This window comes from Homo sapiens, chromosome 1 (assembly GCF_000001405.40).
Source record: "Homo sapiens chromosome 1, GRCh38.p14 Primary Assembly".
Taxonomy (NCBI): domain Eukaryota; kingdom Metazoa; phylum Chordata; class Mammalia; order Primates; family Hominidae; genus Homo; species Homo sapiens.
The window spans coordinates 26,705,934-26,730,160 of NC_000001.11; the positions used below are offsets into that span (position 1 = coordinate 26,705,934).

General features: G+C 44.1%; 1 protein-coding gene across 2 annotated transcripts in view, besides 9 other annotated features; it reads left to right on the forward strand.

Annotated features, from left to right (window-relative positions):
• Positions 1 to 24,227, forward strand: part of ARID1A (AT-rich interaction domain 1A) — an 86,090-nt gene that overhangs the window by 9,919 nt on the left and 51,944 nt on the right. For both annotated transcript variants that reach the window (NM_006015.6, NM_139135.4), the window contains exon 2: positions 23,718 to 23,930. In NM_006015.6, the coding sequence (NP_006006.3) occupies positions 23,718 to 23,930 (213 nt within the window). The remainder of the gene's footprint in view (positions 1 to 23,717; positions 23,931 to 24,227) is intronic.
• Positions 1,483 to 1,982: an enhancer, noted in NCBI's record as "H3K4me1 hESC enhancer chr1:27033907-27034406 (GRCh37/hg19 assembly coordinates)". NCBI's record gives its function as "activates a minimal SCP1, AML or CMV promoter by ChIP-STARR-seq in primed H9 embryonic stem cells {active_cell/tissue: H9 hESC(primed)}" and the evidence as "EXISTENCE:reporter gene assay evidence [ECO:0000049][PMID:30033119]".
• Positions 15,976 to 16,556: an enhancer, noted in NCBI's record as "H3K27ac-H3K4me1 hESC enhancer chr1:27048400-27048980 (GRCh37/hg19 assembly coordinates)". NCBI's record gives its function as "activates a minimal SCP1, AML or CMV promoter by ChIP-STARR-seq in primed H9 embryonic stem cells {active_cell/tissue: H9 hESC(primed)}" and the evidence as "EXISTENCE:reporter gene assay evidence [ECO:0000049][PMID:30033119]".
• Positions 16,557 to 17,136: an enhancer, noted in NCBI's record as "H3K27ac-H3K4me1 hESC enhancer chr1:27048981-27049560 (GRCh37/hg19 assembly coordinates)". NCBI's record gives its function as "activates a minimal SCP1, AML or CMV promoter by ChIP-STARR-seq in primed H9 embryonic stem cells {active_cell/tissue: H9 hESC(primed)}" and the evidence as "EXISTENCE:reporter gene assay evidence [ECO:0000049][PMID:30033119]".
• Positions 17,167 to 18,408: an enhancer, noted in NCBI's record as "heart enhancer 10; zebrafish transgenic reporter assay". NCBI's record gives its function as "activates a minimal c-fos promoter by transgenic reporter assays in zebrafish embryonic heart {active_cell/tissue: heart(embryonic)}" and the evidence as "EXISTENCE:transgenic organism evidence [ECO:0001131][PMID:20075146]".
• Positions 17,167 to 18,876: a biological region, named in NCBI's record as "heart enhancer 10".
• Positions 17,196 to 18,481: an enhancer, noted in NCBI's record as "VISTA enhancer hs569; mouse transgenic reporter assay". NCBI's record gives its function as "enhancer in: heart[4/9]" and the evidence as "EXISTENCE:transgenic organism evidence [ECO:0001131][PMID:17130149]".
• Positions 18,297 to 18,876: an enhancer, noted in NCBI's record as "OCT4-NANOG-H3K27ac-H3K4me1 hESC enhancer chr1:27050721-27051300 (GRCh37/hg19 assembly coordinates)". NCBI's record gives its function as "activates a minimal SCP1, AML or CMV promoter by ChIP-STARR-seq in primed H9 embryonic stem cells {active_cell/tissue: H9 hESC(primed)}" and the evidence as "EXISTENCE:reporter gene assay evidence [ECO:0000049][PMID:30033119]".
• Positions 18,877 to 19,456: an enhancer, noted in NCBI's record as "OCT4-NANOG-H3K27ac hESC enhancer chr1:27051301-27051880 (GRCh37/hg19 assembly coordinates)". NCBI's record gives its function as "activates a minimal SCP1, AML or CMV promoter by ChIP-STARR-seq in naive and primed H9 embryonic stem cells {active_cell/tissue: H9 hESC(naive and primed)}" and the evidence as "EXISTENCE:reporter gene assay evidence [ECO:0000049][PMID:30033119]".
• Positions 19,457 to 20,036: an enhancer, noted in NCBI's record as "NANOG-H3K27ac-H3K4me1 hESC enhancer chr1:27051881-27052460 (GRCh37/hg19 assembly coordinates)". NCBI's record gives its function as "activates a minimal SCP1, AML or CMV promoter by ChIP-STARR-seq in primed H9 embryonic stem cells {active_cell/tissue: H9 hESC(primed)}" and the evidence as "EXISTENCE:reporter gene assay evidence [ECO:0000049][PMID:30033119]".

A 24,227-nucleotide genomic window follows, 5' to 3' on the forward strand; every position in this document is an offset into this window, starting at 1 on the left:
TGCTGCAGAGTAGGAAATTTGATCCCTAAAATGTTGACTTAGTGTTGGTCATGGTACATATTAGAAATCACCCAGTAATCCAGGACAGATTTTTGTCACCCTCCAGGAAGTTATGTTGATATAAATACTAAGGGGCTTTGGGTACTGAGCTAAGTGCTCTGCAGGCCCAAAGCGCTGCTTGAATTGCTACCCATATGAAGAGGAAATGTGCCATGTGCCTTTTTTTCTCTCTTTTGCATTTGGGCTTCCTTATGGCTTTGTTGCTTTTATGTTCCCAAGTCTGCAAAGTTAGATATTAGACTTCCTCCTCCCTTGGCACTGGCAGATTCATGATTTTCCATGGCTCATCACTAGCAGCCAAGATTTTTGTATGCTTTTCTCTCTTAAACTTGTTCGTTTTCAGCTTGCTTGTTTATAGGCATCTCTGTTAAAAGGAACCCTTCTTTTCCCCTTAAGATCTAGCACCAGGGGTGCTTGGGGGTTGTTGTGATATCAGTCAATTAAAAGCCCATTTGGTGTGTGCTTGGTGTTTTTATTTTGCTCATGTTTTCTTTGAGGTCACAACGTGCTTGCCGGGCATGAGTGCCTTTGGGCCCAGCTGTTTACTCTCAACTGCCGTGTACTTTGACTTTAAGAAAAGTGCAAATTCAGCCACGTGGTAGAGGGATTAAAGGCCACATAGTGTTGGATGCTTCCTTTTGGAAGAAACAGATATATCTTTGGGCTCTTCTTGCCCAGTGATTTCTCCTGTCTGGGGTAGACATTGTTGCTTTCTGTTGTCCTTAGAGAACAGGGCAGAAATGCTGGGAATTGGTTTATTACTGTGTCTCTTTGGCAAATATGTATGTCTTTTTCTCTTGCCCTTTGGACAACATTCTGTTCTGGTCCTAAGGTGTTGGAGTTCACAGGTTGATCTAGCGTTATGTGAAACTCTTGGTAATTTAGGTTTGGATAACCGGCTTTTAGTCTCCAGATTTCTAACATTGTGCTTGTTTAGGAATTTAGGCTTCTAAAGAGAACCATATTACAAAGCTTTTGGGGAACAATTCTGTAGGTAGTTTATCTGTTCTTGGGTCACAGATCCTCACCAGGATCCTGACTTTTTTTTTTTTTTAGACGGAGTCTTGCTCTGTCACCCAGGCTGGAGTGCAGTGCAGTGGGGCAATTTCAGCTCACTGCAGTCTCCGCCTCCTGGGTTCAAGGGGTTCTCCTGCCTCAGTCTCCTGAGTAGCTGGGACTACAGGCATGCGCCACCGCGGCTGGCTAATTTTTTTTTTTTTTTTTTTTTTTTTTGAGATGGAGTCTTGTTCTATCGCCCAGGCTGGAGTCCAGTGGTGTGATCTCGGCTCACTGCAACCTCCGTCTCCCAGGTTCAAGTGATTCTCCTGCCACAGCCTCCCGAGTAGCTGGGACTACAGGCGCCTTCCACCACGCCCTGCTAATTTTTGTATTTTTAGTAGAGATGGGGTTTCATCATGCTGGCCAGGCTGGTCTGAAACTCCTGAGCTCGTGATCTACCCGTCTCGGCCTCCCAAAGTGCTGGGATTACAGGCATAAGCCACCACGCCCGGCCTAATGTTTGTATTTTTAGTAGAGATGGGGTTTCACCATGTTGGCTAGGCTAGTCTCGAACTCCTGACCTCAGGTGATCCGCCGGCTTTGACCTCCCAAAGTGCTGGGATTACAGGCGTGAGCCACTGTGCCTGGCAAGGATCCTGACTTTCAAATGATGGCCACCATGCATTTGAGTACTTATTATGTGCTAAGCATTATGCTTAGTCCTCTTGATGAATTTCCTAATTTAATCTTCAAAACTGTATAGGAGGTGGGTTCTATTATTAATCTTCCTCTTTTACAAATGAGGAAATAGAGTAAGATAAGAAATTTGCCCTAGGGAAAATAGCTGGTAAAAGGTAGAGTTGGGTTTGTCTGACAAGGTAGACAAGGTTTGTCTGACTCTTCAAAGGTATTACAATCTAAAATACTAACTTTGCTTCTCCAAAATAAATTACTCAGGCACCAAGATTGTTTAGGACATTATTTTTACAATAGCCTGAAACTCTTAAATGGGGTGAAAGACTGAAAAGCCATTAGTTAACAATTTGACATCGTGCCTAGAGCTCTGTCCTGTCATTCCCTTCCATCCCTTCCACTTAGGGTTTTGTTGTTTTGGATTTCCGATGAATGGCCATGGCACTTGGTTTATAGCTGCCTTGTGATTCCATTGGTGAGAACTGGCAGCATCTGGTCCTCTGGTCCCCGGTCCTCTCTTTCTCAAGAGGGATCTTTTGGGGTTGAGAGTGAGATTCAGCCTTTAAGATACAGTCCTTCACTTTTTTTTTTTTTTTTTTTTTTTTTTTTTTTTTTTTGAGACGGAGTCTTGCACTGTCGCCCAGGCTGGATTGCAGTGGCGTGATCTCGGCTCACTGTAACCTCTGCCTCCTGGGTTCAAGTGATTCTTCTGCCTCAGCCTCCTGAGTAGCTGGGATTACAGGTGCCCACCACCACGCCCAGGTAATTTTTTGTATTTTTAGTAGAGATGGGGTTTCACTGTGTTGGTCAGGCTGGTCCTGAACTCCTGACCTTGTGATCCACCTGCCTCGGCCTCCCAAAGTGCTGGGATTACAGGTGCGAGCCACCGCACCCAGCCAGAGTCTTTCACTTTGATCTGAGTGAAAGTGACTTGAATTATGAAAGTATATGCAGAGTGATATTACTTTTCCAGAAACTTGGAGCACTTGCTGAAGAGGCAGGGATTATTGTCTTTTTTTTTCTTTTGAGATGGAGTCTTTGCTCTGTCGCCCAGGCTGGAGTGCAGTGGCGCGATCTTGGCCCACTGCAAGCTCCGTCTCCTGGGTTCACGCCATTCTCCTGCCTCAGCCTCCCGAGTAGCTGGGACTACAGGTGCCCGCCACCACGCCCGGCTAATTTTTTTGTATTTTTAGTAGAGATGGGGCTTCACCATGTTAGCCAGGATGGTCTCGGTCTGCTGATCTCGTGATCCGCCCGCTTCGGCCTCCCAAAGTGCTGGGATTACAGGTGTGAGCCACCGCGCCCAGCGGATTATTGTCTTAATTTGCCACTTGGGGGAAATGAACACATAAAGTTGAGTGCCACATACAAAGTTTCATAGCAGAGTCATCTCTAAAACCTAGGTTTAAAGTTCTCTTAGGGCAGTATGACTTTAGGTAAGTCACTTCTCTGAATCTGTATTCTCAACTATATAATGAGGAAAAATATCTACCTTGAAGCTATGGTAAATATTAGATATGTGAAAGTACTATTCGTTTATCAAATACAATTCTAACATGACTCCTGATTGGTCAATCCCACAACTATCTCTCCCACTCTCCAGCCGTCCTTTTCAGAAGCAAGCCTCCAGGAGAGTTGATACCACTATTCCCACCTTCCTCCTGTGCATCCACCAATCTACCTCACATTCTCCTCCCCTGCACCCAGCACCCCTGGAATGCTACCACCCTGCTCCAGCCAGGAGGCCAGAAGGGTGATGTAGGAAGATTGCAGCACTACCATGGAAGTTCTCAACAGCACCCCCGACCCAGGACCCCAGGTTCCCACTGGCCCTGCTTCTCAATTCAGGAGAGATAGAATTGAGTGGTTAAAGCTAGTATTGGTCTTTACCGAATTCAAAATTTTCCCTAGTTTTTAGCTACATCTGAGTTACTGTAATGCTTTTTTTTTTTTTTTTTTTTTAAACTAAAATTTGTTTAGAGACAGGGTCTTTCTCTGTTTCCCAGGCTGGAGTGCAGTGGCTATCCACAGGCACAATCATAGCCCACTCTCAAACTCCTGACCTCAAGCAATCTTCCTTCCTCAGCCTCCCAAGTAGCTGAGCTACAAGCACATGTCACTATGCCAGCTATCAGGGCTAGCTTGCTTACTTTTTTTTTTTTTTGGAGACAGAATCTCGCTCTGTCGGCCAGGCTGAAGTGCAGTGGCATGATCTAGCTCACTGCAACCTCCGCCTCCTGGGCTCAAGCAATTCTCCTGCCTCAGCCTCCCGAGTAGCTGGGATTACAGGCGTGTGCCACCACGCCTGGCTAATTTTTGTATTTTTAGTAGAGACGGGGTTTCACCACGTTGGCCAGGCTGGTCTGGAACTCCTGACCTCAGGTAATCCACCCACCTGGGCCTCCCAAAGTGCTGGGATGACAGATGTGAGCCACCGCACCCGGCCTATCAGTGCATTAAAACACACAGGCCGGGTGCGGTGGCTCATGCCTGCCATCCCAGCACTTTGGGAGGCCAAGGCGGGTGGATCACAAGGTCAAGAGATCGAGACCATCCTGGCCAACATGGTGAAACCCCGTCTCTATTAAAAGTACAAAAATTAGCTAGGCGTGGTGGCGGATGCCTGTAGTCCCAGCTACTTGGGAGGTTGAGGCAGGAGAATCGCTTGAACCTGGGAGGCAGAGGTTGCAGTGAGCCGAGATCACGCTTGAACCTGGGAGGCAGAGGTTGCAGTGAGCCGAGATCACACCATTGCACTCCAGCCTGGGCGACAGAGCGAGATGCCATCTCAAAAAATAAAATAATACATACACACACACACACACACACACACACACACACACCACTTGTTGTTCCAGCTTGAGAAGTGGATTAGTGCAGTGGTTCTCAGTGTGGTCCCTAGCCACCAGCATCAGCATTACTAGGTCCTGTTAAGAAGCACAGACCCTTGGCCAGTCCTATCGAATCCAAAACTCTGTCAATATGTTCTAACAAGTCCTCTAGGCCATTCTGATGAACACTGAAGTTTGAGAACTACTAGATTTATACATTTACACTCAACTGGGCTGCAGAGTATATCCAGATTACCTGAGGGGCTGCTTCTAAATTATACCATAGATTGATGTTTTATGTCTATGTGCCCTCCTATGAAAAAAGTATTAATGAATGGAGAAAAGGTTAAAATGCTTGAGGCTAGGGGAGTGTGTTAGTTTGCTTGGACTGCTGTCACAAAATACCATAGACGAGGTGGCTTAAACAACAAACATTTACTACTTGAAGTCCTGGAGGGTGAGAAGTCCAAGATCAAAATGCTGGCAGATCGGGTTCTTGGTGACAGTCATTTTCCTGGCATGTAGGCAACTGTCTTCTGTCTTCTTGCCGGTCTACCACCCCAATTAATGCCCTCTTAGCCTCTTATGTCTCTTGCTCTTTTTTTTTTTTGAGACAGAGTCTCGCTTTGTCACCCAGGCTGGAGTGCAGTGGTGCAATCTCAGCTCATTGCAACCTCCGCCTCCTGGGTTCAAGCAATTTTCCTGCCTCAGCCTCTCGTAGCTGGGATTACAGGTCCACGCCACCACGCCCGGCTAATTTTATTTATTTATTTATATATATTTTTTAGTAGAGACGAGATTTCACCATGTTGGCCATGCAAGTCTCAAACTCCTGACCTCAAGCCATTTGTCCACCTCAGCCTCCCAAAGTGTTGGGATTACAGACGTGAGCCAGCGCCCCCGGCTCTTGCTCTTATAAGGGCACTAAGCCCATCATGGGGGCACACCCTCATGACTTAATCTAACCCTAATTACCTCCCAAAGGCCCCACCTCCTATTAATAATACCGTAACGTTGGAGGTTAGGGCTTCAACATTAATTTCAGGGTTTCATAAACATTCAGCCAGTAACAGGAGAAGAAAGAAAATACTTTTGAGATGGACCTTTACTAGTGCAGTGATAAGTTCTAGTCACAAAACACGTCTGCTTGTTTATAGGACTTGGGGGCTCCCTGCCTTCCATTTCTCTTTCTCTTAGTTCTTCGGCAATATGGCATGAAGATAATCTGGACCTGTGGTCCTGGGATTTTGATGAAGGTGGGAAAGGTATTTTAAGATCTTGACTGGCAGGGCATGGTGGCTCATGCCTGTAATCCAAGCACTTTGGGATGCTGAGCTGGGCGGATTGCTTGAGCCCAGGAGTTCGAGACCAGCCTGAGCAACATGGCAAAACCCTATCTCTACAAAAACAAAAAAATCAGCCAGGCATGGTGATGCGCGCCTGTAGTCTCAGCTACGTGGGGGCTGAGATGGGAGGATCACTTGAGCAAGGAAGGCTGAGGCTGCAGTGAGCCATGATGGCACCACTGCACTCCAGCCTAGGTGACACAGCAAGACCCTGTCTATATACAGAAAAAAAAATAGGATCTTGACTGTGGTGGTCTCCAAGTATGGCCAATACAGTACACTTTTCCAAGAAAGTGATTCTTGAAAATGCCACTTAAAGGTCAGTGTTGGAGCACTAATTAAATGCCATGATGTCCCTTTTGCCTGTGATGGCTGTCTGATCTGAGAACAGGGCGTTGGGTGATTTGGTGTTCTCACAGTAAGCCTTTATTGACCTCTCTCCCTCACCCCCTACTTCTTAGTGGCCAGTCTGAGTTTTGCTGTGAATTCCTTTCCTTGTGTCTCTTCTTGTGAAGTTTTAGTAAATAAACCCTGTAAGTAGGCCGAGAGCAGTGGCTCACACTTGTAATCCCCGTGCTTTATGAGGCTGAGATGAGAAGATTGCTTGAGCCCAGGAGTTCGAGACCAGCCTTGGCAACATAGCAAGACCTTGTCTCTCTTAAAAAAAATTTTTTTTAAATTAGCTGGGCCTGGTGGCATGCACCTATTGTCCCAGTTACTTGAGAGGCTGAGGCAGGAGGATCACTTGAGCCCAGGAGTTTATTGGAGGCTGCAGTGAGACCTGATTGTGCTATTGGACTACATACAGCCTGGGCAACAGAGCAAGACCCTGTCTCAAATAAAAATAAACCCTCTAAGTAGATTCCTGAACAAGCCACCTCATCTCTGCAGTGAATGAGGACTCTCTGAGGGGTGGACATTTGAGCCAAGACCTGTCTCCAGTTGTATAACTTAATGAATAAGGATTGTGCTTGGCACAGATGTGGGAGTTACAGAAGTGGTCAGGTGATAAATATTAACAGTTTGAAGACCAAGTGAAGAACCAGTGTTCTAATTCATTTGGACTTTCTGAACACCTTATGTGGTTTCTCTGTCCTTCCCATTAAAAACAAGTATTCTGCTACCAGGCCTCTTTTTCCTCCTGCCTGAGAAGCGTAGCTGTGATCACTGGGACCTAGCTGCAATGAAGGCAGTGGTTTCCAGGAGGAGACTACAGTTTGATCTGTGATTTCATATTTGTATGTACAGATGAATACTTTAGTAAGGAATCTTATGTTTGTGTGTGCATGTGTGTTTTAAACTCTATCACTTTTAAGCTTTATTTTCTCTGTTCTTGGCTTTTTCTTTTTTCCTTTTTCATTTTCTCCTTTGATGTCTAACTCTGCATTAGTAGAATGCAGAGCACATGGAAACTCCAGTAACTTTACCACACCAGAGCTGGTAAAATGGAGATACAACATACACCAGTTTCAGACTAACATCATTTTGGTGAAGATTGATTTTTTTTTTTTTTTTTGGCAGAGTCTTGCTTTGTTGCGCAGGCTGGAGTGCAATGGCGTGATCTTGGCTTTCTGCAACTTCTACTTCCTGGGTTCAAGCAATTCTCTTGCCTCAGCCTCCCGAGTAGCTGGGACTACAGGCGCCCACCACCACACCTGGCTATTTTTTTGTATTTTTAGTAGAGACAGGGTTTCACCATGTTGGTCAGGCTGGTCTTGAACTCCTGACCTCAAGTAATCTGCCTGCCTCGGCCTCCCAGAGTGCTGGGATTACAGGCGTGCGCCCAGCCTGTGAAGATTTTTAGTATCTGCTTTCCTTTCTTGGAAAAGCCTGGCTAACTAGAGGCAGGAAATGTCTATGTCTGATTAACAAGTTCCTAAATGGTCTCTACCTCTTCTCATTTCCCACTTTATTGTCTTTGGTCTGGAGACAGATTCCTTCATCTGTTTTTGGGGTTCTGTTGACCCAGTACAGATTTGTAACATTGTTTTTCTTTACAGTTTGTGATTTCAATCCTCTGCTTTCCCAATGCCACTTTGAATTGGCTTCTTTAAAACTCCAACATAAAACCTCAAGTGACCAATATGTGGTCTCATTATGGTATTTTGGGTTAAAATGAAATTAAGATAGCTGGGCTCACCCAGCCAAACACATTTACCAAAGGGAAATTTTGAGGCATCATAGACTGTGAAGTGGTTAGGGAAAAAGAGAGTTAAATGTTGGCTAGTTTAGAATGCCAAGTGTCCATCCCAACTTGGTTATACTGGCCAGAGATGGCAAAGAATAGAGACAATAAGGTTCTGAAAAGACAGCTGGTGACTGGTATGGCCCTGTATACTCCTGGGATAAATCATGAAGTGAGGGTCTCCTGTACATACTTGTATAGTTTGTATAGACAGTGGTGTAGATGAGGTTGGTATGTACCAGCATACTTTTGGAACTTTGAGAAGAACTGTAGAATTTGTAGTACTCTGGTTTTCCATCCAGGGAATTGCTGACCTTAAAACCTGAGGATTTGGATGCATCTATAATCTTTTTTGTTTGTTTGTTTGTTTGTTTGTTTGTTTTTGAGACGGAATCTCGTTCGGTTGCCCAGGCTGGAGTGTAGTGGCGCAATCTCGGCTCACTGCAGTCTCCGCCTCCTGGGTTCAAGTGATTTTTCTGCCTCAGCCCAGCCTCCTGAGTAGCTGAGACTACAGGTGTGTCACCATGCCGGGCTAATTTTTGTATTTTTAGTAGAGATGGGGTTTCACTATGTCAGCCAGGCTGGTCTCGAACTCCTGACCTCATGATCCACCTGCCTCTGCCTCCCAAAGTGCTGGGATGACAGGCATGAGCCACCGCGCCGCATATATAATCTTAATAAGGTTGACTATTCCCTGGGCCGTTCTTTAACTTATTTAATTGTGCCTGCTATAGTTCAGAGTGGACTTAGGGGGACCTAGTGAAAGACTGGTATTTTGGGGAAGTAGTCCAAGGCAGCCCTAGGAATTAATGAAATAAACAGTGGCATTGCTGCTGCTTCTTGGTGTTTTTATCAACATACAGTACTTGATTGGATTGATGTACAAGCATGATGACAAACAGAATCCCAGACTGCATGTAACTTCAGTTCCTACAGCTCAGTGATCTGTCACAGATACCTTCTTTGGCGGGATATAGAACTATGTATTAGAGAAATTTAGCGTCTTTTTTGTATAACTGAAAGACCAGCCCAAGTTTGCAGTTGTAGATAAAATAAAAAGAATGGGAGAAGTTAGAGAAAGAAAACGAGGCTTTGAAGTTTTGTGGCTAGGGGCAGTTTTTATCTTTATTTACTTTGTTTATTTGTTTGTTTGTTTTTAGCACTTATCTGCAAATTAGTTTAACATGGAAGAGGGAGGAGTATTTTAGAAACTAGATCAGAAGATGCATTTAGAACAAAAGTTGGAATGTGCACACCTGGGTAAAGCTCTGTAAGGTTACTCTTGCCCCTCCATGTATTCCTTAAGTGTACCATATCACTTAATGGTAGGTAATGATAAGTAGGGCAGAAAACATCAAAAGGACAGCAATATTCAGTTGGGCATGTGGTCCATCCATACCAAGGACCTTTTCCTAGTAGAAGCACCAGAGGATGGTCTGTGGGAGGAAGTACCTTTTTCTGATTTCAATCTATATCACCTCACATGGGGACAAATTTTCTAATTTTTGAGCATATATTGGGATGCAGTATACCAGTGTGTCTTTGCGTACCATCAGGATTTCCTAGACTTTGATGATATTTTCCATTTCTCAGGAATTTTTAGGATAAGAACTTTTTAAAGTTCACTTAATTGCCCAGTCCTGTTGTTGAAATGTTGTTTAATTTAAAGCATAAAATATGCTGGGGAGAGTGGCACACGCCTATAATCTCAGCTACTGCAGAGGCTGAGGCAGGAAGATCACATGAGCCCTGGAGTTCCAGGCCAGCCTGGGCAATGTAGGGAGACCCGTCTTAAAAAAAAAAACATAAAATAGTTGGGCCTTGCCAATGTAAGAAGTCATATGGCAGAATCTTTTTTGAAAAACCTGTGAGTATCAGGCTGGGCGCGGTGGCTCACGCCTGTAATCCCAGTACTTGGGGAGACTGAGGTGGGCGGATCATGAGGTCAGGAGTTTGAGACCAGCCTTATCAACATGGTGAAACCCCATCTCTACTAAAAATAACAAAAATTAGCCAGGAGTGGTGGTGCATGCCCGTAATCCCAGCTACTCAGGAGGCTGAGGCAGGAGAATCACTTGAACCCGGGAGGCAGAGGTTGCAGTGAGCCAAGATCGCGCCACTGCACTCCAACCTGGGTAACAGCGAGATTCCGTCTCAAAAAAAAAAAAAAAAAGAAAAAGAAAAAAACCTGTGAGTATCTGCCACATGCTAGTTGCTTACATTAATGCAAAAACACTTACTGAGCTTCTACAGTGAATCAGATAGTATGTTATGAACATAGGATTCATAATTCCTGCCTCCATGGAGTACTTTCTAGTGGGGAAAAATATGTAAGCAGATAAGCACAAATAACTGTAGTTACAGTTGTAATAAATGCATTGGAGAACAACACAACTGTTTTTTTAAATTTTTATTTATGCTTACCTTGTCTGATGGGTGGCTTTGTAGTCTTGAGATCTTAGGATGGGTGCTGGTCAGTTCTGAGTCCCTTTCCCTCTAGGGTCAAGTTTTATAGGAAGTTATCCATTGAGGCATGCTGGGCTAGAGTTCATTGTTCCTCAGCAAGGCTCTTCTGTTTTGTTTTTGTTTTTGTTTTACGGGGAGATGGAGTCTTACTCTGTCACTCAGGGTGAGGTGCAGTGGTCTCAGCTCACTGCAGCCACTGCCTCCCAGGTTCAAACCATTCTCCTGCCTCAGCCTCCCGAGTAGCTGAGATTACAGGCATGCACCACCACACCCAACTAATTTTTGTATTTTTAGTAGAGACAGGGTTTTCCCATGTTGGCCAGGCTGGTCTTGAACTCCTGATCTCAGGTGATCTGCCTGCCTCGCCCTCCCAAAGTGCTGAGATTACAGGGTGAGCCAACTGTGCCTGGCCAGGAAGGCTCTTCTTTTTGTGGTGCTATATTGCAGGACATTGGCATCTTGCTCCCCGGGTAATAAATGCCAGTAGCACTATAGAGTTGCTGTGACAACCAAAAAAGGCGCTTTCATACATTTATTTCCAAACACTTCTCAGTGGTTGGTATTGCCCCGGTTGAATACTACTGGCTGTACTGTCAGGATTCTTGGAAGGAGCTTTGAACAAAATCCTCTGGGAGAACAGACTGAAAGTAGGTGGTGCTTGAGACTTGGACTGGCCAACCCTTTTGGTGTCTGACTTGTGTGTTCATGTTTTTTAAGTAGGTATTTTGAAACTGCTCTCAACCCCATTTTGCCATTTCTCCTATTGAGGGTGCAGAGAGAGAAGTATTGTGTGTGTGCTTTATGAACTGGCACTGTAACAAGCATTTCACATACTTACCATTTGAACTGTTTTGTATCTTTGTTAAACAGTTTTTAATCCCTGTTTACAGATGGTTCTGGTGCTAAGAGATAAAGTGACTTGCTCAAAGTGGTGTGAAACTATACTTTTTTTTCTTTCTCAAAAAGTACAGCCTAAATTTATTTGATTGTCAGTTAACCTCTAGTTGATGACTTTGGACTTCTGGTCTTAAGTGTATGGGACAGACATTAATTGTTCTACAAATTTCCAAGCTCTACTGCCAGAAACTTAGCACTTGTGTAGGATGATGATAGCTGCCATTCTGGATGCTAGAGGATACAGCAGTGAATTAAACATACACAGGACATATAGATTGAACAAGATAAATAAGTGAATCATATATATAGTATGCTAGTGATACATGCTTGGGAGAAAAAGTTAATCAGGAACCAAGTATAGGAGTGTGCAGGGTTAAAATCTTAGAGGAGTTCACCAGGGAAGGCCACACTGAAGTGATATTTGACATGAAAGTGAGCTATACTAATATCTGGGTGAAGAAAGTATTCCAGGTAGAAGGATCTATGAATACAAAGGCTCTGAGGCTAGAGGATGCCCAGCTGATTTGAGGAACAGTTTTTTTGTTTGTTTTTGTTGTTATTTATTTTTGTTGTTGTTGTTTCTGAGATGAAGTTTGCTCTGTTGCTCAGGCTGGAGTGCAAAGGTGCAATCTTGGCTCAACGCAACCTCCGCTTCCCAGGTTCAAGCAGTTCTCCTGCCTCAGCCTCCTGAGTAGCTGGGATTACAGGCATGCACCACCACGCCCAGCTAATTTTTGTATTTTTAGTAGAGACGCGGTTTCTCCATGTTGGCCAGGCTGGTCTCGAACTCCCGACCTCAGGTGATCCACCTGCCTCCGCCTCCCAAAGTGCTGGGATTACAGGCGTGAGCCACCGCACCCAGCCGTTGTTTTGTTCTTTATTTACTTTATTCGACCCTGAAGTGTGGTACTACTATCTGTTCTGTTGATAAGGAAACAGAGACAAAAGTTGAAGGCACTGCAGGGGCAGAGCTCTTAAGCCACTGCCTAGAACTGGCCATGTACAATAGTCCTCCCTTATCTGTGCGGCGATATCTTCCAAGACCCCCAGTGGGTGCCTGAAAGTACCAGACCCTATATGTACAAATGCCCCTCGGTATCCGTAGGGGGTTGGTTCCAGGACTCCCTGAGGATACTGAAATTTGTGGAATATATAAAATTGCATGGTATTTGCATATAAACCATTAATACGTACATTCTCCTGTATACGTTAAATCATCTCTAGATTACTTATAATACCTCATACAACGTAGATATTATGTAAGTAGTTGTTATGCTATATTGTTTAGGGAATAATGACAAGAAAAAAAGTGTACACATTCAGTACAGGCACAACCATCGTAGGCCTACTAACTACATTTTTGATCTGAGGCTGGCTGAATCTGTGGATGCAGAACCCATGGATACAAAGGTTTGACTGTACTTTGTTTTTCCTATACATGCATACCTATGATAAAGTTTAATTTATTAGGCATAGTAAGAGATTAACAATAACTAATGATAAAATACAACAGTTATGTGATTGTGGTCTCTCTCTTTCAAAATATCTTATTGTATGTAATGTTTTCAGATTGTGGTTGACCGTGGGTAACTGAAACCTTGGAAAGCAAAATCAAGGATAATGGGGGGTACTCCTGTAGATCCAAAGCATTTCAGTTCAGCATTAATAGGGACAGGAATTGCCAGGCCACTAGAGTTTCACTTTCTCTTCTACATTCCCCTTTCCTTTCCTGCTTTTGGGCATAGGGGAGCATTTGTTTGTTTTGTATACATATCTCTTATCTCTGCCTACCTGAAATTTATATTCTAGTCAAGGATACAGATAGCAAACAAGATAAATAAGTAAAGCATTAGTATGTTACGATACTTGCCCAGGTGAACCAGAAAAATCTGAGACTGAGTATAGGAATTTGGGGAAGCTTGATTTTGGCTGAAAGTGCTGCTCATTTGGGAATCTGAGGTGCATTTCTAGCTTTTCTTTACTGGCCAGGCACTGCCCTCTTCAGACCATTGTTTGGCTAAGGAAAACGAATGTACATCTGAATTCTAGAGACACTCTGTGCTGGAGATGGATTTGCACTATAACAGGCATTTCACATACTTATCGTTTGAACTGTCTCATATTTTTGTTAAACAGTTTTTAATCCCTGTTTAAAGATGATTCTGGTGCCAAGGGATGAAGTGACTTGCTTAAAGTGGTGTGAAACTCTATACTTTTTTTTTTTTTCTTTTTAAAAAGGTACAACTGAGGCCGGGCACAGTGGCTCACGCCTGTAATCCCAGCACTTTGGGAGGCTGAGGCGGGCAGATCACCTGAGGTCAGGAGTTGGAGACCAGCCTGACCAATGTGATGAAAACCCGTCTCTACTAAAAATACAAAAATTAGCCGGGCATGGTGACATGCGCCTGTAATCCCAGCTACTCGGGAGGCTGAGACAGGAGAATTGCTTGAACCCGGGAGGCAGAAGTTGCAATGAGCCGAGATCGCGCCATTACACTCTAGCCTGGGCAACAAAAGTGAAAGTCCGTCTCAAAAAAAAAAAAAAAAAAAGGTACAACTGGGCTGGGCGTGGTGGCTCACACCTGTAATCCCAGCACTTTGGGAGGCTGAGGCAGGTGGATCACGAGGTCAGGTGTTTGAGACCAGCCTGACCAACATGGTGAAACCCCGTTGCTACTAAAAATACAAAAATTAGCCGGGCATGGTGGCATGCACCTGTAATCTCAGCTACTCAGGAGGTTGAGGTAGGAGAATTGCTTGAACCCGAGAGGCATAAGTTGGAGTCAGCCGAGGTCACGCACTGCACTCCAGCCTGGTGACAGAGCGAGGCTCTGTCTCGAAAAAAAAAAAAAAGGTACAACCTTCCAGATTGGCCAACATGATGAAATCCTGTCTTTACCAAAAATAAAAAAATTAGCAGGCCCTGGTGGCACAGGTCTGTAATCCCAACTGCTAGGGTGACTGTGGCAGGAGAATCACATGAAACCGGGAGGTGGAGGTTGCAGTGAGCTGAGATGGCGTCATTGCACTCCAGCATGGGCGACAGAGCAAACAAGACTCCATCTCAAAAAAAAAAAAAAGGTACAACCTTAATTTATTTGATTGTCAGTTAACCTTTGGGCATGTAGCCCAAATGCTCCCAGACTGGATACGAGACTCTCTTAAGATTAAAAATACAGATTCCTGGCTGGGCGCAGTGGCTCATGCCTATAATCCCAGCACTTTGGGAGGCTGAAGCTGGCAGATCACTTGAGCTTAGGAGTTGAAGAACAGCCTGGGAACATGGTGAAACCCCATCTCTACAAAAACTGGCTATGATGGCATGTGCTTATAGTCCCAGCTACTCAGGAGGCTGAGGTGGGAGGATCACCTGAGCCCAGGATAGGAGGTTGAGGCTGCAGTGGGCCATGATTGCACCACTGCACTCCAGCCGGGGTGACAGATTGAGACACCCTGTCTCAAAAGAAAAAAAAAAAAAGATTCCTGGCCCGGCCCCCATCCCAGACCTGCTAATTAAGAATCTGGAGGGTAGAATTGGATTGAGTAGCTGAGGAGGTTGAGGTTCAACCTGGTTGATTGTCTTGACCACTCCCTCAGGAAGTTGGTCTGAGAACTGGGATTGGACCCCAGATGTACTTACTGCCTCTCAGTTTACTGCTCTTTGCACCTGGTTGTACTGCTGCCTTTTGAGATAAAAAGTTGTAAAGAAGGGGACGTTTAATTTTATGAGATGACATTTTGGTTCTTGTTTCATAGTTTTCTTGGGGTCTTACTATTGTTTTGGTCACCCTGGTTTGTTTTTGTTTTTGTTTTTGTTTTGAGACCGAGTCTCACTCTGTCACCCAGGCTGGAGTGCAGTGGTGCGATCTCGGCTCACTGTGACCTCCACCTCCCAGGTTCAAGTGATTCTCCTGCCTCAGCCTCCCAAGTAGCTGGGACTACAGGCGCGTGCCATCACACCCGGCTAATATTTGTATTTTCAGTAGAGACCAGGTTTCACCATATTGGCCAGGCTGGTCTCGAACTCATGATCCGCCCTCCTCGGCCTCCCAAAGTGCTGGGATTACAGGCGTGAGCCACCGCGCCTGGCAACCCTTGGTTTTAAGCAGTACCTGAAAGGATTTTTTCCAGAGAAGTTACTTGGTTTCCTTAGTGGCTTTTGTAATTTGTTTGAAATAGGGAGAAATTGGTTAAGTTTAGTCTTAGGAAAAAGTGATCTTCATCATTTTAGGAAGAGCATTTTCTCTGGAAATGATGATAGCCACCTGTTATGGAAAATGTGGCTAATGAAAGTGCCCTGGATGAAGAGAGAAGGACTTATCATTTGTTGGGATTCATTAGTTTGATGCTGTAGCTGCTTTATTTGAAGGGCCCTTTCTGGTGCCAAAGAAGTGAAGAAGCATCAGTCACTTGGTTGTGGTTTTTCTGGCATGCCTCTTTTTGGTAGACAGCTGTGAGGTGGTTATTATGGTTGTTTCTCATAATCTGATTGAGTTTTGCTACATGATTCAATGACTCTTCCCCTTTTGGTCTCCTTCTTCTAACCTTAGTGAGTTTTCTCTTATCTTCTGGTCTGGAAGGATAGAGATATGGTAGTCTATATATCTCTAAGCCCAGAAGAGAATGAGGCCTTTGTCTTGTTTTACATCACTTTCTAGATGTTCTTGGTTTGACATCTGGTTGCAAGCGCCTTCCTGGAGGTTTGATCAGGCTAGTGCTTCAGGGGATATCATTGGAATGGGCTAAGTCTGCAAAGGGGAATGTGTCTGATCTTCTAGAATGGTTTCTGTAAGCAGAATGGGGTAGATAGAACTTTTCACTGATTTTTGTGGTGGTTTTTTTTGTTTGTTTTCAAGATAGAGCCTTGCTCTGTCACCCAGGCTGGAGTGCAGTGGTGTGATCTCTGCTCACTACAACCTCTGCCTCCCAGGTTCAAGCGATTCTCCTGCCTCAGCCTCCCGAGTAGCTGGGATTACAGGCACGTGCCACCATGCCAGGCTAATTTTGGTATTTTTAGTAGAGACGGGGTTTCACCATGTTGGCCAGCCTGGTCTCAAGCTCCTGACCTCAGGCGATCTGCCGCCTTGGCCACCCAACGTGTTGGGATTACATGCGTGAGTCACTGCGTCTGGCCAATTTTTATTCCACTTGGAAATTTATGGAAGTTTGAAAGAATTTTTAAAAAACAAAACTTTTTTGGGGAGTGGTAGTTGCAAACTAGTTGTTGATTCCTCTCTCACCAAAGGCAGATGGTCAGTTTGTTTAGAACTTGAATGAACTAGAATGAAGGAATTGTGAAGTAGAAAACTGAGTTATGGTTCCTAGGTTATGAATGAAGAGAATCATAGGCTGAGTGGGTTTGATTCCCTGTGACAGGTGTTGGTATAATCTAATGAGATTTTTTTATTTTCCTGTCATCAGCTTGGCTTCAGGAAATCTTTAGTGTTGTCTCTGTTGAGGCCAAATAGGAGGTTAGAAATCTCTTATTGTCCTAGGTCATATAAAAAGTCATGTTTCCCCACTATTTAAAACAAGATGAAGGTAGTCTCCTTATTTTAGGAGGCGGGGTCTAGGAGTAAAACTAAGACAAACATGTTTCTGGACAATTTCTCCTCAATTGGGGGCTAGGGGTTCTTGACTAGTCTTCAAAGAAGGTCTGAAATACTAGGGGATATAGAAAAGACAGGATAAGGGGCGTTAGATACAGTTGTCTGGCTGGGGAGAGAAGGGACAATGAGAATGATTTATGCTGGTCATTTTATGTACCAGGGTACATAGGGTGATTTTTTTGGTGGAAGCCTAGTCTGTCCTAAGATATTACTCCTGAGATCTAAGTGAGCCACGTGCAGCTGGCAGGAAGCTGAAAGCTGTTGGTTGGGAGAGGCCTTAATTTTTACACTTGCCCCTGCCTGGAATGCCCTATCACAGGGGAGGGTCCCATACTGGAACTGGATCAACAGCTGTCGCCTGTCCCTGGAATCACAGGAAGCGGAGGACGGGGTGCCTTTGTATAGGGAGCTCTGAAGCCAGACAATAGTTTGTGCTGGCGGGGCCATGTGGCGAGTCATGTGACCTGGGGCTGTTTTCTGCTGGGGTCCTTACCCATCTGTTCTCTCGGCTCTTTCTGGGTTATCAGGCGCCAGTCCAAGTCCTCCCAGGCAGCCAGCTTCATGGCCAGAGATTACGAGCACTAACCTTCCTGGCAGGGGCGGTGTGGCTTCGAGTTTATGCAGATTAGCCATGTGTTTCTCACTTCAAGGCGTTCCACAGGAAAAGCCTTTTCCTGTGTTTGGCTCTCAGTGGGCGGTTCCCAGCTTACTGTACTGGGACTCAGCAAGCAGCAGGCATGCACCAGAGGGATCACAGTACACTGGCCCCCCTCTCCATTCCACCTCCAATGCTACGTCACCACAACACAACCACTCGCGCTCTCATACTGTTGGTGTCATTCATTCGGTGCCAAGATTGCTTTAAAAAATTCCCTTGGCCCCAGTTCAAACAGGAGTACAGCTGGGATGTGTTAGATTTTAGGCAGTCTGCCCTCAATTTGAGATGAGTTATAAATAGCAGTGCCGACTTCCTTAACTACCGCTCTCTGAGGTAAAATGCAGGTTAATTACTGTGGGAATCAATTAGGGGGGTTCTTTTGGTTAAAGAGCCAGGGATGCATTTTTTTAATTATTATTATTAAAAGTCATATAACAAATCTAGCCAGGAATAAATTGAAAGCACAAGGAGTAATAATACTTAAATGTCCAAAAGCCAAGGTTATAGCTCTAGGTTTACACTAGCCCCAACTAGTTAGCATTTAGGATGATAAAATGAGTAGTGGTCAAGACTTCTCCTCTCTGATGGACACCTTTTTGGCAGCTCCTGGCCCAACCCTCTCTGTTCTTATTCTTGCTGGCCCTTGGCACTGTTGAGTACTAAATTTAGCTCCTTAGGGTTGCCGCCTGGTCACTTCTTTCTATTTCCTTGGATTGGAACTGGAGCTTTCCTCAGTTGGACTTTTATTTAAATAAAATTATGAAGTTTCTCTTTCCTGGTGCCACTGCCACGGGTGGTACATTTTTGTGAATGGTATATCTCTGCTTAGAAGTTTTGAGTTCTTGGCTCTGTCTTCTCTGCTCTCTCCTCGGTCATGGTCAGATGGAGAATTTGCAGCTATTTTAATCTGTGAGTTTCACAAAGTGGTTACTTTGGGTTATAAGACATTCAGCCCAGGTCTACCTTAAAAGTCTAGTCTGTTATTTCAGCCGTTTTTGGGGGTCATTTTGGTTTTCCTTGATGCAATAAGAAGTTGTAAGAGGTTCCAGTAGCCAGCTAGTCTGGAGGGTCTTGTAATTCTATTGGCTTGGAGCAGGGGAACTCCCTATGCAAGGGGTCTGTCTGCTAGCTGTTTGTTCTGAATATATTCGGAAGGACAAGCTGCTAGGCATCCTTGCCTTTGATGCCCCTAAACTGCATCTTTTGATACATTTCATTTGGCAGGCAGTTTATAACATGGCCAGTGATCTGGAAGGAGGTGGTAAGTGGTAGATGGAGATGAGGAGTTTTCTTATGGCTCTTTCCCCCTTTTTTATTTTTATTTTTTATGAATGCAGGAGAGTATATAGCAGGGGGCCCGACTTTGCTGATCAAGGGGCAGCATTTTCCTCTCAATTATGTGTCTCTGTGGCAGAGCCTTTGCTTTTGAAGTGTAATCACAGTAATCTACTCCTGTGGTTTCCCATTGAAAGGATTTCCTCTGTCTTTCCCAGAGTGGAATCTCTGGCTTTTTGCAGCTAGGGTTTGGAGTTTCCATCCCCTGCCTTGTGCCTGCAGACTGCTGATACTGGCTTTTGTATCTTGCATGTAGGGATTTTTCTGGTCTGAAATTGCTACTTTCCAATAAAACTGATTAGTGAATATTTAAGGCCCCTTCTCTGTTACGAGAGATTGGGAGATGGCATTTCATCTGTAACTGCAAATCACAAATATTTCACGATGGTTTTAAATGTCATAAGTGTGAGTTATGTCCCTGCTCACCTCCCCTTCTGATTTGAGCAGATGTCTAACTTTTACATGAGATCAGAATAATCTGATTGTTTGAACTGAATATATATTTAGTTTGCCAAATAAGCTGCATATTCTGTTGATCATAAGCCTTTTGTGATGGGAGGGAGTCAAAAATCTGACGACCAGAAAAAGAAAGCATATTAATTTTATTTTTAGAATAAAAATTTCTTTGATGTACATTTATTTTTGGTCTACAAAGATTTCCTAAAGTTGAGGTGGGACATTCCTTGAACCCTTTATAGCCCCCATGTAAGTAGCTGTACTCAATTGGGAGCGCAGGCCTCCGTGTGAGAGAGGAAAAGGTGACTTGTCCTTAGCCTTTTGTTTTTAAGCAGTGTATATGAGGATGCCCCTGCAGTTCTGAAATTCTCTCTGGTATAAACCTTTTTTTTTTTTTTTTTTTTGAGACAGAGTCCCACTCTGTTGCCCAGGCTGGAGTGCGGTGGCACAATCTCCGCTCGCTGCAGCTTCTGCCTTCTGGGTTTAAGTGGTTCACCTGCCTCAGCCTGCTGAGTAGCTGGGATTAACAGGCGTGCGCCACCACGTCCGGCTAATTTTTGTATTTTAGTAGAGACGGGGTTTCACCATATTGGCCAGGCTGGTCTGGAACTCCTGACCTCAAGTGATTCACCTGCCTCAGTCTTCCAAAATGTTGGGATTTACAGGCATGAGTCACTGCGCCCAGCCTTGGGTTTGTTTTTTTTTGTTTTTTTTTTTTTTTTGAGACAGACTCTTGCTCTGCTGCCCAGGATGGAGTGCAGTGGCTCGATCTCGGCTCGCTTCAGTCTTCGCCTCCCAGGTTCAAGTGATTCTCATACCTCAGCCTCCCGAGTAGCTGGGACTTATAGGCATGTGCCGCCACACCCAGCTAATTTTTGTGTTTTTAGTAGAGATGAGGTTTTGCTATGTTAGGCAGGCTTGTCTCCCAACTCCTGGCCTCAAGTGATCCACCTGCCTTGGCCTCCCAAAGTGCTGGGATTACAGGCGTGAGACACTGCGCCCAGCCAGGTTATTCTTAAAGTGTGCTTGTTCTCCCTTGAATATTCTCATCCTTCTTTCTCATCTTTCACTTCAGTCCAACTTTTTTTCTACCTTCAAAGTCATAACCCCTGTGTTAGGGTTAGATTTAGGCTATGACCCTGGCTTTATGGCTAGATAGTTTGATTTGGGCTTTGTCCCCATAGTGTCTCCTACCCTTTTTTGGAATAGGACAGCATTGCACATTGAACAGTCACTGAGCCCAAGCTCTGTACTTTGGTATTTGGGAGAGCTTTGAAGATAAAACACCTGATCTCTGGCTTCCCAGAAGTTAGTCTTGAGAAATGCAATCAGTTAGTTGGAATAGTTAGCTGCAACTAAGTGTTAAATCTTAGGATGCTAACTGGATTTACAATAGGGCATTTAGAAATGTTAGAGATCAAAGTGTACTGAAGATATGGGAAGTGGCTTCATTTTGAAAGGTCAAGTTTCTGTTACTAGAAGCCACTGTGGACAGGAGGGCAGGGCAGGATGCCATTGCATAGAGCTGGGCATGTACAGTATGTGGGGAATCTTGGAGTGAGACTGAAAAAATGTGGAAAACTGGTTCACATTGTAGAGGGCTTTAGAGCCAGGTAAAAGCACTGTTTTATCATTACTGATAATCGCTACCATTTATTGGACATTTAAATACCAGGCACTGTGTGAAGTGTGTTATGTGCATTTAAAGAACTGATGTGTTCAAGGTAGGATGGTGAGAGAGGTAGGATTTGGACCCAAGTCTATCAAATTACTACACTACCCTCTATGTAATAATACTGTGCAGGATTTAGTAGTTAGGAAGTTTGGAACTATTATTGACCAGGGAGTGGTGGAAGTGATTTGGGAACAGCATTGTCCTAGAACTGCTCTAACATAATAAGCCACTAGCCACATGTAGTTATGTGAATTTAAATTAATTAAATGTAAATAAAAATAAAAATTTAGTTCCTTTGTCATATTTCAAGTGTTGAATAGTTACCCATCACAGAAAATGTTATTGGCCAGTGCTTCTCTAGATCACTGGTTCTTAGCTAATAGTATACACCAGACTCATTCAAAGATCTTAAGGAGGTTGGAGAAGAGCACAAGCCCTTCCAGACCCAGTAAATTGGAATCTCTAGGGAGAGGCCTAGCCATTTGTGAAGCTTCACAGAAAATTCTAATCTGCAGCCCTGGTTAATAGCTACTGCTCTAGAAGCTCTATAGTAACCATGGTAATGACTGCCCCTCATGTTGTGGGGAGACCTAGACTGACAGAGATACCCAGAGCAGGCTGATCTCTTTGTTCAACAAAATAGTCTCTCCAGTTGGAGGCCACATGGACAGCAGCTGCAGTCTGTGATGAGATGAGGACCTCAGTGTGATATGTGGCATGATATGGCCATGTAAGCCCCCAAGCTCTTTACAGGGGAGAATGGTGATGTTTTGGCTCCATTGCCAGGTGTATTGGGGAGGACCGTATGCTATTTATTAATTGTTGTTAAATTCGAACTTCCTAAGTAACCCTAAAATCTATGTAGCTCTAAAATTATGATAGGGAACATTATTGGAGCTTCTGATATGGATGAAAGACTTGGGCAAAAATTGTTTAGTTAGGATTGTTGGCAACAGTACTTTAATAATATTGACATGTAGTAGTGATTTGGGACACAGTTTTACTATGACTTTGTACAGTTTAGAAACATGGGGGAGGAGTATTCCCATCATCACTCACCAATTTAGCTGAGATTTCAGATATAGCCTAAGAAATAACTCTGCTTCTCTTTTTTCCCTTTGATATTAAGAAGAACAGCCTCTGTGGCTTATTGTCTTACCTGTTTTCTTTCATGAAAGCTCTACTTCCTCTACTATAAAACACTTAATAGCATTATTAAAAAACAAACACGTACAGAGAACGAATTGTTTGGATCTCCCCTTCCTTTATTTTGGAGGTTTTGTTGTTGTTTAAGGTCTTAACAGCTTAAATTATAGAATAGCTTATTAATTATTGAATAATAGAACTGGAAGGAACCCTAGGGATAACCTAGACCAGTCCTGGGAGGTGGGTTCTAGCAGTCTGTTTTAACAAGCCTTTCAAGTGATTCTGATGCATGCTAAAATCAATGAACCACTGAACTCCTTCATGTGACGGTTAATGATAGGCCTAGAGTATCAGTATCTATTTCACCCCCAATGTAAGAGCTAGTTTTTAAGTTTTATATCAGACCCATGCCTACTCTCCATCTTGTGTGTGTCTTAAAGGTGCTTAGAGAAACTTCCCCCTCCCCGCACACCACCAATAGATATAGGTAGATATTTCTGGCAGGGGAAAGTGTGCTCTGGAGTGCCAGTAGGATAAAGGCATATCAAAAAGTGAATGAGCTGGTTGAACCTGTTGCTCCACAAAGAGCTGGAAAGAAAGCTGTTGCATCAAATACCTGTGAATTGAATTTTGAGCTTTCATTATTGGTGCTAGCTGTACCTCTCTGTCTTCTTGCTCTTTTTTTTTTAACTTCCATGACAGCCTACCATTGAATCTTCTTGTCTCTCAAAGAGATAAAAGTTCTGTTCTTCTTATATCTTCAAACTCTTGAATATTAAAGGAAATGAGCTTTTCAGTTGAGATGCACAAGACTCTTAATTCAGAGTTCCCATTCCCTCAACTGTCACTTAGCTGCTTTGCTTATTTGGAAGAAAGCATAAATTTAACTGTGCCATAGTGCAAACAGGCTATAGATGTGTAAGGGGAGTTTCCACTATTGGAAGAATAGAAACATCTAGATGTTTGTGTATTTGAATTCCCCGTCATGGTATTGAAGCATCAATTTTGGTGTGTAACAAGGTGATGGCAGTGCATAGCAGCACCGTCCTCTACCAACTGAAGGGCCTTTGTTTATACCCGGCCTGTCCCTTGGATCTCAAGCAGTACCACAGTTACAAAGTAGTTTTTAGCTTACAAGGTGTTTTCACAAATAGGTGGTATTTTCATTTTTCAAATGACAAAATTAGGGTTCTGAGGCGGGTCAGTTGACTTAAAGGTTACTAGGTTGGTCTCATTGCTCTTTCAAAGTAACTGTATTTCTTTATAGCATACAGACTAAAAAAACCTGTGTACTTGGGTTATATATTCAGTGGCCAGAGGCCATCAAAGCTCAGGTTAATGAAATGCTCTTTATTTTGTAGCCATCCAGTCCAATGGATCAGATGGGCAAGATGAGACCTCAGCCATATGGCGGGACTAACCCATACTCGCAGCAACAGGGACCTCCGTCAGGACCGCAGCAAGGACATGGGTACCCAGGGCAGCCATACGGGTCCCAGACCCCGCAGCGGTACCCGATGACCATGCAGGGCCGGGCGCAGAGTGCCATGGGCGGCCTCTCTTATACACAGCAGGTAGATGGTGATTGTGATTACCTTGACCCTTGTTGCTGTCCAAAATCTGATCTGTGAGCTATAGAATCAGAATGTATCCTTGGCTTCCAAGCCTCTTGACAGGAATGTAGACCTGTTGGCTCAGTTAATTACAGAGTGCTACTAACAAAGCCAAAGCTATAGGCACCGTTCCATGTGTGCTCCAAGGAAAACTACTTACTCCCTGGTCACAGGTACGTATCTCTTTTTCTCTTGACCTGACTGGCCAGCTTATACCTAGTGAGTGGTCATCTCTGAATGAGATGGGATGAAAGGCAG